The following is a 17,916-nucleotide window of genomic DNA, read 5'->3' on the forward strand; positions in this document are numbered from 1 at the left end:
TTGGTATGACCACTTTAGAAAACAATTTTAGAAAACAACCAGTTTAGACAGTTTGACATTACCTAGTAAATTTGAACGTGCACTTACCTTAAGACCTGATGATTCCACTTCTAGGTATATATCCTAAAAAACATTCTTACACACATGTATCGGAGAAATATTTAAGAATATTCACAGCAACACTGTTTGCAATAGCAAAAACTGGAGCCAATCCAACATCCAAAAGTAGAATGGGTAATTAAATTGTGTTATGTTTTTACAACAAAATACCTATATAACAGAGAAATCAGATAGGTGAATCTCAGAAACATAATGCTGGGCAAAAGCTGCAAGTTGCATGGGAATAATGCAGAATGATTCTATTTTAAAAAAGCTCAAAAACACGCAAAAACAAACCATGTAGTGTTTAGGGACACATATATTTGTGATAACATAATTATTAACACAAAACTTAGGATGGTGGTTTCCTCTGAAAGAGAAGGATATGATTATAGAGCGGCAGATGGAAGGGTTCTTCCTTGAGTGGAAGCTTTAGCAAAGGCAGTTTCAGTGGAGTGGCAGGGATGGAAGCCAGAATGGTGTGTTGAAGGCTGCGTTGAAGCTAACAACATGAAAGACAGCTAATGCAGTCAGCTCATTAAAGACATGTTGTTGAAAATAGGAGCAGATTATATTATCACAAAGCAGTGAAAATGATCATTTGCAGAGCAAACTTCTTTCTCACAAGGCAGAAGGAGGGTGAGCTAGGGTGAATATAAGAGGCTGGCTGTGATTGAGCTGAACGTAGGGGCAAGAACAGAGCTGCAGCCTGGGAGCCCTTCTCATAAAGAGGGAGATTTAGGAGTCTTCTTCGTTGGTCGCCCAAAGACTGTCTGCCCACTTGGAGATAAGCAAGCAAGATCTCCAAGCAGCTCAGCCACTGCCTGCTTTGGCTCTCATGAGACCTCCTGCCAGGAATCCCCATTAATCAAAGTCTGGGAACAAAAGCAGACCAGTCAGTTCCCAGGAGCGCTCACATGTCTTGCAGGCTGGCTTGGGCTTTCTGTTTCTTTCGGGGTCATTGCTCTGACTACCCACAAATATAACTTAAAATCTCATCTCAATGTGACTTTCTGGTGATGTTTTAAAAGCCTATCAGGGAAACTGAGCATTTGCATCTTTGGAAGTTTATTCGAGGGACTAGCTAGGAAAACTCAATGTGGAAAAGTACAAGAGAGAAATGATCACATTGAAAGGTCATGTGGCTGGGCGCGGTGGCTCACACCTGTAATCCCAGCACTTTGGGAGGCTGAGGCAGGTGGATCACAAGGTCAGCAGTTCGAGATCAGCCTGACCAACATGGTGAAACTCCGTCTCTACTAAAAATACAAAAAAATTAGCTGGGCGTGGTGGCAGGCGCCTGTAATCCCAGCTACTTGGGAGGCTGAGGCAGGAGAATTGCTTGAAACCGGAAGGTGGAGGTTGCAGTGAGCCGAGATTGCACCACTGCACTCTAGCCTGGGCAATAAAAGCAAAACTCCATCTCAAAAAATAAAAAGAAAGGTCATGTGTACAAACTTTGACTTTGAGGGTTATCTAGGAACTCATTAGTAACCTGCCTGGAGAGAAACCTGGAGCTACAAGCCAGCAGAGAAAGGAAATGTGTTCTTCTATCAGCTCCAGGTGTAGAGCAACAGGAATGGGGCACAAATCTGAAGAAGGGCTGGGCGCGGTGGCTCACACCTGTAATCCCAACACTTTGGGAGGCTGAGGCCGGAGGATTACTTGAGCCCAGGAGTTCAAGACCAGCCTTGACCTCCTCTGTGTTAAACATAAAAAAATTAGCTGGGCATGGTGGTGCACACTTGTAATCCCAACTATTCAGGAGGCAGAGGCAGGAGGATTGCTTGAGCCCAGGAGTTCAAGACTGCAGTGGGCTACTGCACTTCAGCCTGGGTGACACAGCAAGGCCCCATCTTAAGGGGGAAAAAAAAGTCTGGAAAAGGCCAAAGGATACTCAGAAGAGAGATTTCACATCCTGTTAGGTAAAACTGCAGCTGTGACTATGGGGTTGGGAAAATTTCAGAAGCAGTAGGAGAAAATCAAGAACTTCCCCTTCCTAGTGTGGAAACAGGCTCTTGGGATCTCTCCTGCCTAATGATCCCTGAAGGAGAGAGGGAAACAAACATCTTAAGGAAAAGGAAGAAATCATCATGTTTCTTTTCTCCTGGAAACCAGGCCTGTTTCAGAGGGAATAAGAAAAGTCGGCTGGGTGCAGTGGCTCATGCCTGTAATCCCAGCACTTTGGGAGGCCGAGGCTGGAGGATCACGAGGTCAGGAGTTCGAGACCAGCCTGACCAATATGGTGAAACCCCATCTCTACTAAAAATACAAAAATTAGCCAGGGATGGTGGCGGGCACCTGTAATCCCAGCTACTCAGGAGGCTGAGGCAGGAGAATCACTTGAACCTGGGAGGCGGAGGTTGCAGTGAGCCTAGATGGTGCCATTGCACTCCAGCCTGGGTGACAGAGTGAGACTTCGTCTCAAAAAAAAATTTTAAGCAAGAAAGAAAAAAAAATCAGATTCGTGATAAGCTTGTCCCAAAACCTCAGGTAAGATTGATAGTCCATTTTAGGGTGCTGCTTGCCTCCTCTTCCATCTCTCCGCCTTTGGAGAGCAGATACCTGTCCATGCTTCTTCAAAGGGTGGAATGAGATCCCATCCATCTTACATGTATTCAACAGTAGCTTATTGAATGCTTCCTGTGTTCAGGGAGCTCTTCTAGGTATTGAAGAAGTGGCTGTGAATGAAAATAGACAAAACCAGACTGAGATAATGGTATGTAAAGTGTGATATGAATATGGGGGTCAGGCTCGCTCAATGCTTTTGCCATTTCCATATGGGATGATTCCAACAAGATACTTATAGTCAAGCTGTTAGAAATAAAGGCTTCCTTTCCCCTCTCCAGCTACCCCAATAAATCTGGGTCATTCATCATTGTTGTTCAGTTTGTACTGAGCAGCCCCAGTTAAGTGAGCTATGGTTATATTGAAATATCCACTTGGCCACGAATTGAGTGAAGGTGGGAGGTTCCTCCTGCTAATTCTCCTCCCCTCCCAATACACTTCCTGGCAACCCCCACGCGGAAAACCTCACCCTACTATAGGCCCCCTTCCTCCCACTCTTCAGAAGGCGGTGGCCCCACCCAGGAGAGGGCTGCAGATCGGGGCCAGCCCCAGGGCCTCCGCGGTGCCACCTCTCTCTCGCGAGGGTCCCTGCCGTGCCCCGGCTCGCCGCTGGGAGGCGCTGCGGCACCGGCGTAGGAGCCGCCGGCAGGGGTGGGGCGGGGCCGGCGGGACGGGGCAGAGGGCCCTGCGGCGGCGGACGCGGCGGGCTCGGCCACAGGTAACCCGCAGGAGCCGAGAGCGCTGCCTGGCGCGCGGGCGGCTGGAGGCACGGCGCTGGGCGGCGCCGAGGCCCTGGGGCCGCCGGAGCCAGCGGGAGCCAGTCCCCGTCTTCGCCCCTCGCCCCCCACCGTGTCGCCGGCCTTGGTCCCTGCGGCGCGGACGTCCGGCGCGGGAGAGAAAGGTACCAGGCGACCTCGCCGGCTCCCTGGGACCCCCGCTTACACCGGGGTGGGCGCCTCAGGTCGGGGAGGACGCTGTCGGGGGAAGGGGGCGCTGCTCCCTCGGCACCCCAGGATCGCCGACTGCCCGCGGAGGAGACCCGGACACCGCGCCTCGCCCCCTGGCCTGCGGCCTCCGAAAACGCCCGGCGCGAGGGGGTCCCCCCGGGGCGCCTCCCTCTTCGCCTGGCATCAGTTGCCTCCCTGGAATATGGAACTTCGGGCGAGGGAGGTGGAGAACTTTCTTCTGGGGCTCGTCCCTCGTTCTCCTGCTCGCTTGCAGTTTGAAGGAAGGGCGGTGGGGGCGGGGGTCCGAGTACCCCGCGGTCTGCGGCGCGTAGGAGGGTAGGTCCCTGGCCTGCGGCCGCCTCCGAATGACCCCGTCCCTCCCCGCCCTGGACGACAGCACTAGGGTGCAGTCGCAGGAGAGGGGCCGATACCCCTCAGGAGCCCCATCGGCGAAGCCTCAGCAAGTGGCATCTCCCGGGGTCCAGAGAGTCGGCGTGCTGTCTGGTTTGGGTCCAGACATCAGCTCACCCAAGCTTATCTTGGGCTTTTAAGTGTGTTGCTTCCGGTAGATCTCGGGGACTGGAGGGGAAGTGCAGCATTATTTGTGACCCAAGAGGGACTTGAATGTCTCAAAGCTGGTCAAGAATGTTTCCCCCGCGAGGTAGCATGAGATGGGTCACGTGGTAGTAAAGAGCCACTTCGGGCCCGTGAGATGGAGTTCTGACTCCACCACTTGTTAGGTGTGTGACTTTGGAAAACCCACTTCTTTAAACCTTAGTTTTTAGAACTCTAAACTGCAGGTATTGTACATAACCTCGTAGTATTGTGTTCATGCAGTGAAGTGATGGGAATGAAATGCTTGGCATTGTACTCTTGTGTGTTAGACACCTTTTGCGAACCTGTTGGATGTTGAATTCATTCATGCTTAGGTTCTGTTAGGCCAGTGTAAGTGGAAAGAACTTGGGCAATGAAGACAAACACACCTGGGTCCAAGGTGGTCCCATCCATGGTATACTGATTGGGGGTTTCTCATCCCCAAAACACCAATAGCAGCCTTGGCGGGGTTTTTGTTGTTGTTGTTTTGAGACAGAGTTTCGCTCTGTTGCCCAGGCTGTAAGCTTTGACCTCCTTAGCTCAACCGATCTTCCCACCTCAGCCTGGGACCACCACACCTGGCTAATTTTGAATTTTTTTATTTTACTAGAGACAGAGTCTCACTGTGTTGCCTAAGCTGGTCTCGAACTCCTCCTGTCTCAGCCTCCCAAAGTGTTGGGATTACAGGTGTGAGCCACTGTACTGGTCTGCAGCCTTGTTCTTGAGTGTAGTAGGTGTGTCTATACCGATACATGTTACACTTTGTCATCTTTAGTATTTGTTTAGCATATGGTAACAAAAAATTTTTTAAAAATTAGGGATACAAATTAAAATTGGGGAGTATTTTCTGCCCTCTAGGTCATACTGGACATGGGGGAAGGGTAGAAGAGGGATGAAGAGGAATTAAAGAGACCAGAAAACAACTAGTCGCAGTGTTGGGAGGTATAAACCAATGGTAATTTTTAAAAATGTGAATTTATTAACTCCTTGTTTTTTCATGGTGGCACCAAAAATTAATCTTAGTCTCCCACTTAAACTCATCAGCCTCCCCAAAGCCTTTCCAGATAAGCATATGCTCCATGTAAAAGCAGACTGCCTGCGATCCAACTCAGCTTAGAGACAAGGCACACTTCCAACTCCCAAGGCCTCCTTCTTGTATAGAGATGCTGGTGCTGCCACTGTGAAATACATCATACACTCAGACAGTATAAACCTTAGAGTGCAATGTAAAGAATAACAATAGATCACACCCAAGTACGAGTCACCCGGCTGAAGAACTAGAACATCGCCAGGCCCCTGGAGCCCCTGAGTACCCCTCTCCATTGCCTTCCACTCACTTCTCGCCTCCCACCCAAGGAACCACTATTCTGGATGTTGTGTTAACTTTTTCCCTTGCTTATATGAAAAACCCTGAGGAAAGGAAGTTTCCCAACAAGCATTTCCACAATAACCTGGAGCATTCTTTATTTTTCTTTTTTTCTCAAGGAGCATTGTTATTGAACTTAAAAGCAGGCTATTGAGGGTAAGATACAAACCACAAAAAAGCCGAAAGTCTCAAAGTCGGGGGATCTTTTAGTCTCTGTCTTCTTCCAAGTTTCTCCTGTCTCCCTGGCACGGATCCCGAAGGTGTGTTCTGTCTGTGTAGGGGAGACCCAGTCTCTTCCAACATAGATTGATGGCTGTGATTTTAAAAGCTTTGCTTGAGTCCCTAAGAAGTGGGAAAACAGTAATTTGGGTGCGTGCGTTTTAGAAGTTTTTTTAAAAATGCAAATTATCCAGAAGGCATTGTGTGGGATTTGAAGGATTAAGCTAAGAGTGACCTTTAAAAATGGTTTTAACAACCCAAATTCCTCTTCCTGGTTGATATGTTTGTGTTATTGTCTTTGTTTTATTTCTTCAAGGTCACATGGCTTTCCTTGGTGAATCTTACACTGTTTTGTTACTTCTTGGTTAAGGCAAAGATTCTGAAACTTGGTTTCATGGAGCCCTTAGTGTCTGAGTTAATTTTTTCACAATTCCCTTAGGCTTCAGTAGTTAGTAATTTTTTCACAATTCCCTTAGGTTTCAGTAGTTAGTAGTTAGGTTCAAACAACTGAGTATTTACTTAGAAGTTGTTTGAAAAAATAATATACATAAACTGAGAGAAAAAATATTTTACATCCTTTAAAGTCATAATTACTAACCGTATGTGTGTGCCTATACTACTTTTCAAACCTTGGGATCGTGTTGGACACTGCCACTCTCATTTCCTGTTTCACATTAATATTTCCGCAGCATTTGGCTTTTATCACAGCAGCCACAGAAAACCCAGCTTTGCAAAGATGTATTGTCTTGGATAGGAATGTAACATGATCTACTGTTGAAACTGCAAACTACCTCCAGTTAATAGGTTCAGCAGTGTCCAGACATGTTTGGTATACTAGTTTCCATTGAAATTTTCAGATTTTCTACATTGCCCATTTTAATTTGCTATAGTTGCAAAACACCCAGTCAGGGGGTCCAAAATAGTAAACTTTGAAAACATTATGCTAGGTGAAATAAGTTAGTCACAGAAGGGACAATATTGTATGATTCTGTTTATATTAGGTACCTAGAGTAGTCATACACATGGAGACAGAAAGTAGAATGGTAGTTACCAGGGGTAGGGGGAGGACAGAATAGGGAATTCATGTACTATTTTTGCAACTTCTATGTAAGACTAATATTATTTCAAAATAAAGTTTTTAAACGTTTTTTAAAAACAAATTCTGTTGATGGTGCCCCACTGCTGGACTGTACCAAGGCACTGAGGTTAGGGACAGCAGCAGAGAAAAGCTTAGGGGTGACATTATCTCTATTTCCCAGCTCTTCCTCATCCCGTCAAGGGGGAAGAGATGGAAGAAATAGCTATGTTCTCTCTCTTTTATAGGGAAGTGTCTGCATTATTTACTGGTGGGTTCCTTTATAAACCTGAGGATCAGCTATTAAATTTGTCACTAAAATAAGAATTTTTAACCTGGGGTTCAGTGGTGGGCTACAAATACTCTAAGATCTCCCAAAATTATGTATAAGTATTTAAGTGAATGCTCTTATGTATGTTTGAGGGGGAAGAAGTTCCATAGCTTTCATCAGATTCTCAAATGGTTTCCTAAGTCAAAAAAGGTTAGTAAGCGCTATAAGGAAATATTTACAGATTCCTACCTACCCCCACCCCATAAAAGGCCCCTTTATTTGGATGTCTTATCCCATTTCAGTTCTCTGACATATCTTTCCCCCACCAGTTACAAGAGGCTTTCTTTCTGCTCAGACCCCAGATAAGCCCGACCAGTTCTTTTTCCTCAGAGCCCCCAGCTATTCATCTGGATCCTGAAAACTCCAGGACCAATTCCTCAAGAGCCAAAGGAAGTCCCAGAATGAACATCTTGGACTTCTGAATAGGGCAGATGTGGAACTGAAGTCTCACAACTGCCACATCTCTCTGTGCCCTCCTTAGGTCTAGAAAAATATGAAGTAAATAATAATATATTAGGTACACAGCTATGGAAAAACTCATGAAGATGGTACTGAATGACTGAAGTCCAGTACATTCTGCTTTGGGGGAGGCAAATTTAATTTTAAGAGTGTCTTCTGGTTTACACTTTATGTTCCAAATGTATTCTAAATATAGCATACAATACGTCCTACCTTGTTTCATATCCAGTGATACAGATGAGCTATAGAATTTACACAGTGTTAGAAAAGATGTTAAATATCAGAATTTACTTAATAAGTAGGTCTCTACTCATTCAGACTGGTTTCATTTTATTTTATTTTATTTTTGAGGCAAGGTCTCGCTGTCACCCAGGCTAGAGTGCAGTGGTGCAATTTCAACTCACTGCAACCTCTGCCTCCTGGGCTCAAAGCCATCCTCTCACCTCAGCCTCCTAAGTAGCTGGGACTACAGGCACATAACACCACGCCCTACTATTTTTGTATTTTTGGTAGAGACAGGGTTTCACCTTGTTGCCCAGGCTCACACTGGTTTTAAACTCAGATGAATGGGGTAGGTAAGTGGCAAAAATGGTAACCTGCAAGCTCTTCTTATACATATGATTCCTCAATAGTTGCATTTATCTTAGAAATACTTCAATAAATCATGATTTGAGTCTTTCACCGATACAGGTATATTCTGTATGCTGTAAGGTAGGCTAACTGCTGTAACAAACATTTCCAAACCTCAGTGGTTTAATCTAGCTCACACAAGTCCTAATCAGTTATTCCTGTTGGGCAGCTCTCCTGGGTAGCTGTCCTTCAGGTGACTCAGGGATCAAGGTTCATTCCTTCTTGTGATGCCACCATCTTCATGTGGTCTCCAGAGTCACTGCAAGGGGGAAAGAGTATGGCAAAAGGAAACCGTGTTGACTGCCTTCACCAGCAAGGGAAACACATCACTTCTGCTTACATTCTATTGGCAGAACCAGTCACATGGCCTCAACTAGATTCAAGGAAGCTAGGAAATACAGTCCCTGGCTGGGCAACTGTTTCTTAGTAAAAATAATTTACTTTGGGAAAGGAATAGAACTCTTTGGTGGATGAGTAGCCATTTTTTGTACAATAAGGTGCTAGTGTTTTAACTGGTCAATTAAGTGTAACTGCCTTTATGTAATTTATTTCTAACTTTTTTTTTTAGACAAAATCTCGCTCTGTTGCCTAGGCTGGAGTGCAATGGTGCGATCTTGGCTCACCACAACCTCCACCACCCAGGTTCAAGTGATTCTCCTGCCTCAGCCTCCTGAGTAGCTAGGATTACAGGCAGCCACCACTGTGCCTGGCTAATTTTTGTATTTTTAGTAGAGTCAGTGTTTTGCCACATTGGCCAGTCTGATTTCGAACTCCTGACCTCAGGTGATCCGCCGGCCTCGGCCTCCTAAAGTGCTGGGATTACAGGTGTGAGCCACTGCACCTGGCCTATTTCTTACTTTCTAAACATATATGTGTATATGTATATATATGTATGTGTTTGTATATATGTATATACACTGTATAAATAAAATGTTATGTCTTCATAGTGGAGGGTGTGGAGAAGACTTCTATACAGGAAACAAATGTATCATAATTGCCATGTGAGCAGATAAAAATGCTATTAAGCCATCTAGGCTCAGACATTTATTAGGGAATGAAGCATATTTAATTTACTCAGAATCATCCAACCATGTAGAGAATTGTACATTTGAGAAAGACGGAGCAGAGAAAGATTAGCAAAGAACAAGAATATGCATGTCTTAATGGCTTCGTTAATGTTATCATAAGAGTTTAAAACTACTTTAGGCTGCTGGCAATAGGCTAGGTATGAAACTTATTCCCCCTTCAAAAAAAAAAGTTTTTGCCATGGAATGTGTTACATAATCACAAAGTATATGTGTCAATTTTACTTATTTGCTCTTAAGGGAAAGTAAAATTGTAAAATTTGTATCTGTTTTTCTTATTTGTTTGAAGTAAATTTGTGCCCAAGAGGGTGCACAGCATCAAATGGTAGACATTAAAGGATTACAAGATCATGTGAAAGATCCCAAGACCCAGTTAGAGTCATGGAGAAACTTCAGTAATGTGCACTAATTCTAGTAATGCTTCAGCGTCATTTATCTGTTACTAGTTGACATTGGGCTGTTCTACCTAAGGAAAAGGCCCAAATAATTAAAATTTACCATCTTTTAAATCCTAATTTTCTTTTTTTTCTTTTTCCGAGACAGGGTCTCATTCTGTCACCCAGGCTGGAGTGCAGTAGTGCCATCTTGGCTTACTGCAAACCCCGCCTCCTGGGTTCAAGCAATTCTTGTGCCTCAGCCTCCCGAGTAGCTGGGATTACAGGTGCACCACCATACTCGGTTAATTTTTGTATTTTTAGTAGAGACGGGGTTTTACCATGTTAGCCAGGCTGCTCTTGAACTCCTGACCTCAAGTGATCTGCCCACCTTGGCCTCCCAAAGTGCTGGGATTACAGGCCTAAGCCACCATGCCTGGCCTTAAATCCTAATTTTAAAATAAAGTTTCCTGTTTCATGGTGCTCATATTGGTGTAGTGAAGGAAAAAATAATTTTTCCTCTACTCTTGTGAGTTCTCAGCTGGGAGCCCTGTAACAAAACATAGGTTAACAAGAGAAAAACAAATGGAAGTTTATTAACATGCATATTTCATATATACATGGGAGAAAATTCAGGGAAAGAGTAATTCTCAAAAAGATTTCTTAGAACTCTGGCTTATATAGCATCTTCAACAAAGAACAGTACACTTTTAGAGAAGTGACAAGACAAAGGAAAAAGACCTTCAGTCTTTAGCGATGGCGAATTGTAGGAAGGCAAATACATGGGGAACTAATGGCAGATAAAGGCTAGTTAGTGCAGTTTGTTATGTAGATGCCTCTGGTGCCTTCTCTAGGCTGTTAAGGACCTAAAGCTGTCTTCTGTGACTAACCTTTATCCTTCCTGGTGGAGAGAGGAGAAGGGACACCTTTGTTAATTTATGTCCTGCTTTTAGCAAATAGGGGAAGGCAAGGAGCTTTTCTTGTATCCACTTCTCAGTTGCCTTCGGCTCAAAATAATCCTTATGCCAAAGTGGCATATTTTGGGGTAGCATATCCTGATACTTTTCATTGGAATTAAAGATGCACTAGCTGGGTGTGGCAGTGAGCACCTGTAGTCCCAGCTACTTGGGAGAGGCTAAGGTGGGAGGATCGATCGCTTGAGCCCAGGAGTTTGAGGTTGCAGTGCAATATGATCATGCCTATGAATAGCCACTGCACTCCAGCCTAGGCAACATAGCAAGATCCCATCTCGAAAAAAAAAAAAAAGTTGTACTAGACTAAAGGTTGGCAAATTATAGCCATGGCCCAAATCCAGCTTGATGCCTGTTTCATTCCTTTGCATGGTGTCTATAGCTGCTTTCAACTGCTATGGCAGAGTTGAGTAGTTTCCACAGAGATTACCTGGCCCACAAAACCTGATATATTTTACTATCTGTTTTTTTACAGAAAAACATGTTGATGATGCCTTCACTAGATACAAAATTAGTATAACTCAGTTTGATAATAACTCTGTTCCTAGTTAGAACCTACTTAATCTCTGTGGCCCACTGTTACTTCACTATAGTGGGGATAAATGACCTTGAACAAGTTACCGAATGTATCTTCTTTTTTTTTGAGACAGAGTCTCGCTCTGTCTCCCAGGCTGGAGTGCAGTGGTGTGATCTCAGTTGGCTGCAACCTCTGCCTCCCGGGTTCAGGTGATTCTCCTGCCTCAGCCTCCTGAGTAGCTGGGATTACAGGCACCCGCCACCATGCCTGGCTAACTTTTTTATATTTTTAGTACAGACAGGGTTTGGCCATGTTGGCCAGGCTCATCTGGAGCTCCTGACCTCAAGTGATCTGCCTGCCTCGGCCTCCCAAAGTGCTGGGATTACAGGCATGAGCCACTGCACCTGGCCGAATTTATCTTCCAGTTAGCTGTCTATCTTCCAGTTAGCTTCCTTAGACCAATACTTCTCAAACTTATGCATATGTCAACAAAAAAAGCCAAACTCCTGTAAAGCATTTAAAGAGGTTTATTCTGAGCCAACTGTGAGTGACCATAGCCTTGGTTTTCTTTTCTTTCCTTTTTTTTTTTTTTTTTTTTTTTTTTTGAGAGACAGAGTTTTGCTCTTATTGCCCAGGCTGGAGTGCAATGGCATGATCTTGGCTCACTGCAACCTCCGCCTCCTGGGTTTTAGCAGTTCTCCTGCCTCAGCCTACCAAGTAGCTGGGATTATAGGCATGCGCCACCACACCCAGCTAACTTTGTATTTTTAGTAGAGATGGGGTTTCACCATGTTGGTCAGGCTGGTCTTGAACTCCTGGCCTCAGGTGATCTGCCTGCCTTGGCTTCTCAAAGTGTTGGGATTACAGGCGTGAGCCACTGTGCCCAGCCAGCCATGGTTTTCAAGAGGTCCTCGGAACATGTGTCTAGGTGGTTGGGTTACAGCTTGGTTTTATTTTTATTTTTTTATTTTTTTGAGACAGGGTCTCACTCTGTCGCCCAGGCTGGAGCAGTGGCATGATCTCAGCTCATGCAGCCTCTGCCTCCCAGGTTCAAGCACTTCTCGTGCCTCAGTCTCCTAAGTAGCTGGGATTACACGCATGCGCTCCCACACCCAGTTAATTTTTGTATTTTTAGTAGAGACGGGGTTTCGCCATGTTCCCTAGGCTGGTCTCGAACTCCTGGGCTCAAGCAATCCACCTGCCTTGGCTCCCCAGAGTGCTGGGATTACAGGCCTGAGCCACTGCGCCTGGCCCATCAGCTTGGTTTTATACATTTGAGGGAGGCATAGACACCAATCAGGCTGGGTGAGGTGGCTCACGCCTATAGTCCCAGCACTTTGGGAGGCTAAGGTGGTCAGATTGCTTGAGCCTGGGAGTTCAAGACCAGCCTGTGCAACATAGTGAAAGCCCATCTATTAAAAAAAAAAAAAATTAGCCAGGCATGGTGGTGCATGTTTGTAGTCCCAGCTATTCAGGAGTCTGAGGTAAGAGGATCGCTTGAGCCTGGGAGGTCGAGACTCCAGTGAGCCAAGACTGGCACCACTGCACTCCAACAGAGTGTCAGACCCTGGGCAACAGAGCAAAACCCTGTCTCAAAAAAAAAAAAAAAAAAAAAGACAGCAATCATTATCTGTGAGGTGTGTATTGGTTTGGTTCAAAGATTTTCTCATTGGCAATTGGTTGCAAAAGTTATTATCTAAAGATCTGGAATCAGTAGACAGAAGTCTCTGGGTTACGATAAGGGGTTGTGGAGACCAAGGTTCTTATTATGTAGGTGAAGTCTCATAGGTGGCCACCATTAGAGACCACAGATGGCAGATGTTTTCTGTTTAAACCTTTAAAAGATGCTGGACTCTCAGTTGATCTCATTAGCACATGGAGGGACTAGAGGGGGTAAGATCTAGTTATGTTAATAGAGACTCTTTGCAGAAGCAATTTTCCCCCCACAAAAGATGGCTTTGTAGGGCCATTTCAAAATATGGCAAAGAAACATATTTTGGGATAAAATACTTTGATTTTCTTCTTTATCTGTCATGTGATACTAGAGTCAGATTGGAAATTGGTACCTTATTGCTACAAAGAATCTGTTTTGTCAGTTTGAAGATCTCTGTTTTAATCTTACTGCTGGTCAGTTGTGCCTGAACTCCAAAAGGGAAGGTATAATGAAGCACATCTGCTTCCCCCACCCCTGCCTATTTTTCAGGTTTCTTTGGAATTCTTTGACCCGGGTGGGGGTGAAGAGGATCCATTCAGTTGGTTGGGGGAGCTTAGAATTTTATTTTTGGCTTAAATGTAAGAATAATCTGGGGAATATATTAAAATTTGGGAATTCTCAGCCTTACTCCATAGATTCTAATTCACTAGGTCTGGGGAGGCACACATTTAACAATCACCCCAGATTCTGATGAGGTGACCTGTGGTCCACAAATTATTTTATTTTTTGAGACAGGGTCTCACTCTGTGACCCAGGCTGGAATGCAGAGGTGTGATCATGGTTCTGCAGCCTCAACCTCTCAGGTTCAAGCAATCCTCCCACTTCAGCCTCCCATCTCAGCCACCTGAGTAGCTGGGACTACAGGCGCATGCCACTACACCTGGCTAATTTTTGTATTTTTTGTAGAGATTTTGCCATGTTGCTGAGGCTGGCACCCTTTAAATAATTTGAGCCCTTATGGCAATTTGTCTTTTGGTTCCTAAAAATTGTTTCGTAGCTCTAGATAAAGTTCTTGTCTCAACCAGCATTGAAGCCTTGCCTACCTGATAGGAGAGCTTGGAACCAAGAGGGGAATGCCCAATGGCATTAATCATTAGCTTCTGAGCAGAGCAGTAAGCTTGTCGTATAAATCAAATCACTCACTGTGTGAGCTTATCTACAGAGACCTCTGCAGCTTCGCTTCCGAATAGAAATGATAGAAAAAGTTGGCACTGGGGCTTTAGTGAATGTGAATGGTTTATATCGGAGCTCAGTTTGCCTGTTGATGCTAAGAGAAAACAAATTAAAGTTAAAATGAGCACTGTGGCCCTGCATTAGCCATCTTTTTTAAAAATCAAGGTAAAAGTTAATAAAAGAAAGAGCTTTGATGAGAGGAAGGACCTAAGTCCAGGCACTTTAAGAACAAATACTTGTTTGTTTATAATTTTCTGAATCTCCAGAAGGTACTATCCTGAGTTACAGAATATCTATTGAACGGCTTGCTTACTGAAGCCTTTGTTTTCCTCCATTTGCTGTTCAAAAACTTAGGAGAGAGTGGCAGATCAGTAATGAATAACAGCAAAATCCCCTGGCACCTGTTGGATTTTTATACAAAACAGAAAAAGTTAAAACTTGAAGGAACAATGAAAGAACCTCACATCTCCAGTACTCAATATGATTGAAGTTAGGTTGCTACTGTTTAGAAGCACTGTTTTAAAACTGAGGTTTTGATGCCTTAAAACATTTTTCATCTTTGTTACCTTGCTGAAATAAAATCTAAAAGTTGCATTGGGTATAAGCCAGGATATATTGTACTTTGAAATATAAGTAAACATTTTATCATCCAATGACAGACTTATAACTAATTAGATATTTTCCTGTTGGGATATATCTAGGGAAATTGATTTCAAAAACTGTTTATTAATAGGGACTTTAGAAATTCTATTTAAGGGCTGGGCGCGGTGGCTCACGCCTGTAATCCCAGCACTTTGGGAGGTTGAGGTGGGCGGATCACCTGAGATCAGGAGTTTGAGACCAGCCTGGCCAACACAGTGAAAACCCATCTCTACTAAAAATAAAAAAATTAGGCAGGCATGGTGGCGCACACCTGTAGTCCCAGCTACTTGGGAGGCTGAGGCAGGAGAGTTGCTTGAACCTGGGAGGCGGAGGTTACAGTGAGCCAAGATCACACCATTGCACTCCAACATGAGTGACAAGAGCGAAACTCCATGTCAAAAAAAAAAATCTATGTAAGACTATCAAAGGATTCCTTTACATAATGAGCTCCCCTAGTCCCTAGATATTTGATATATAGGCATAGCTCATTTTATTGCACTTTGCAGATACGTGTTTTTCACGAATTGAAGGCTTGTGGTAATTCTGTGTTGAGCGTCTATCAATACCATTTTTCCAACAACATGTGCTCTCTCTGTGTCTCTATGTCACACTTTGGTAATTCTCACAATATTTCACACTTTTTCTTTATTATTATGAAAAATTGTTTCGGTGATCTGTGATCAGAGATCTTTCTTTTTTTTTTTTTTTTTTTTTTTTGAGATAGAGTCTTGCTCTGTTGCCCAGGCTGGAGTGCAGTGGCATGATCTTAGCTCACTGGAACCTCCACCTCCCAGGTTCAAGTGATCCTCCTGCCTCAGCCCCACTAGTAGCTGGGATTACAGGCACGTGCCACCATGCCCGGCTAATTTTTGTATTTTATTTATTTATTTATTTGACATGGAGTCTCCCTCTGTCGCCAGGCTGGAGTGCAGTCAAGCAATCTCTGCTCACCGCAACCTCCACCTCCTGGGTTCAAGTGGTTCCCCTCCCTCAGCCTCCTGAGTAGCTGGGACTACAGGTGCACACCACCATGCCTGGCTAATTTTTGTATTTTAGTAGAGACTGGGTTTCACCATGTTGGTCAGGATGGTCTCGATCTCCTGACCTTGTGATCTGCCCGCCTCGGCCTCCCAAAGTGCTGGGTTTACAGGCGTAAGCCACTGCGCCTGGCTCAATTTTTGTATTTTTAGTAGAGATGGGATTTTTCCATGTTGGCCAGGCTGGTCTCAAACTCCTGACCTCAGGTGATCCTCCTGCCTTGGCCTCCCAAAGTGCTAGGTACAGCCATGAGCCACTGCGCCCGGCTGATCAGAGATCTTTGATGTTATTATTGTAATCATTTTGGGACACCATGAATTGTGCCCAAATAAGAAGGAGAACTTAATTAATAAGTGTTGTATGTGTTCTGGCTGTTCCACTGACCAGCTGTTACCCATCTCTCTCCCTCTCTTTGGGCCTCCTATTCCCTAAGACACAGCAATATTAAAATTAGGTGAATTGGCTGGGCACAGTGGCTCATGCCTGTAATCCCAGCACTTTGGGAGGCCGAGGCAGGCGAATCACCTGAGGTCAGGAGTTTGAGACCAGCCTGACCAACATGGTGAAACTCTGTCTCTACTAAAAATACAAAATTAACTGGGCATGCTGGTGCATGTCTATAATCCAAGCTACTTGGGAGGCTGAGGCAGGAGAATCCCTTGAATCTGGGAGGTGGAGGTTGCAGTGAGTCAAGATCGTGCCATTGCACTCCAGCCTGGGCAACAAGGGCGAAACTTTGTCTCTAAATAAATAAATAAATAAATTAAATAAAATTAGGTGAATTAATAATCCCACAATGGCCTCTAAGCATTCAAGTGAAAGGAAGAGTCTCACAACTTTCACTTTAAGTCAAGAGTTAGAATTAATATTAGTGAGGCAGGCATGTCAAAAACCAAGATAGAATGAAAGCTAGGACTCTTGTGCCAAAGGGCTAGCCAAGTTGTGAATGCAAAGGAAAAATTCTTGAAAGAAATTAAAAGTGCTACTCTAGGGCTGGGTGCAGTGGCTCACTCTTGTAATCCCAGCACGTTAGGAGGCTGAGGCAGGAGGATGGCTTTAGACCAGGAGTTCAAGACCAGCCTGACCAACTGATATAGTTTGGCCGTGTCCCCACCCAAATCTCATCTTGAACTGTAGCTCCCATAATCCCCATGTGTCGTGGGAGGGACCTGGTGGAAGGTAATTTAATCATGGGGGCAGTTACCCTCGTGCTCTTCTTGTGATAGTGAGTTCTCACGAGATTGGATAGTTTTATAAGGGGCTTTTCCCCCTTTTGATTGGCACTTCTTGCTGCTGCCATGTGAAGAAGGAGGTGTTTGCTTCCTCTTCTGCCATGATTGTGAGTTTCCTGAGGGTTCCCCAGCCCTGCGGAACTGAGTCAATTAAACCTCTTTCCTTTATAAACTACCCAGTCTTGGGTATTTCTTTGTAGCAGCATGATAATTGACTAATACACCAACGTAGTGAAATCCTGTCTCTACAAAAAATTAAAAAATTAGCAGGGCATGGTGATATGCACCTGTAGTTCTAGCTATTCGGGAAGGCTGAGGTGGGAGGATCACTTAAGCCTGGGAGGTTGAGGCTGCAGTGAGCTATGATTGTGCCACTGTATTTCAGCTTAGGTGACAGAGTGAGACCCTGTCTCAAAAAAAAGGGAGGGGGGCCACTCCACTGTACACAGGAGTGACAAGAAAGTGAAACAGCCTTATTGTTATTGCTGATATGGAGAAAGTTTGAGTGGTCTAGATAGATTAAACCAGCCACAACATTCCCTAAAGCCAAGGCCTAACCCAGAACAAGGCTCTGACTCTATCAATTGTGTAAAGGCTGAGAGAGGTGGGAAGCTGCAGAAAAAAAGTCTGAAGCTAGCAGAGATTGGTTCATGAGGTTTAAGAAACCATCTCTGTAACATAAAAGTGCAAGGTAAAGCAGCCAGTGCTGATGTTGAAGCTACAGCAAGTTATCCATAAGCTCTAGCTAAGATTGTTGATTGATGAAGATGGCTACACTGACGAATAGATTTTCAATGTGGATGAAACAGCCTTCTACTGGAAGGAGAGTCCATTTAGGACTTTGTTTTTCTTTCTTTTTCTTTTGAGGTGGAGTTTTACTCT

General features: G+C 44.5%; 1 protein-coding gene and 1 long non-coding RNA gene across 9 annotated transcripts in view, besides 1 other annotated feature; one reads left to right on the forward strand and one right to left on the reverse strand.

Moving 5' to 3' along the window:
• Nucleotides 1–400: 400 nt before the first annotated feature.
• On the reverse strand, nucleotides 401–11,726 carry LOC124901360 (uncharacterized). Its single transcript, XR_007059675.1, has 2 exons — nucleotides 3,610–11,726; nucleotides 401–2,780 (listed from the first exon to the last, which is right to left on the reverse strand). It is a non-coding gene; the product is annotated as an uncharacterized LOC124901360 (long non-coding RNA).
• Nucleotides 3,137–3,616: a silencer, noted in NCBI's record as "silent region_17395". NCBI's record gives its function as "represses an Ori minimal core promoter by ATAC-STARR-seq in GM12878 lymphoblastoid cells {active_cell/tissue: GM12878}" and the evidence as "EXISTENCE:reporter gene assay evidence [ECO:0000049][PMID:35858748]".
• ANKRD6 (ankyrin repeat domain 6) overlaps nucleotides 3,345–17,916 on the forward strand; it is a 200,683-nt gene continuing 186,111 nt past the window's right edge. For 6 of the 8 annotated variants that reach the window (XM_047418408.1, XM_047418410.1, XM_047418412.1 and 3 more), the window contains exon 1: nucleotides 3,345–3,568. The gene's annotated coding sequence lies outside the window, so the exon portion shown is untranslated. The remainder of the gene's footprint in view (nucleotides 3,569–17,916) is intronic. The other 2 variants (NM_014942.4, NM_001242813.1) reach the window with 1 other exon arrangement.

This window comes from Homo sapiens, chromosome 6 (assembly GCF_000001405.40).
Source record: "Homo sapiens chromosome 6, GRCh38.p14 Primary Assembly".
Lineage (NCBI taxonomy): Eukaryota > Metazoa > Chordata > Mammalia > Primates > Hominidae > Homo > Homo sapiens.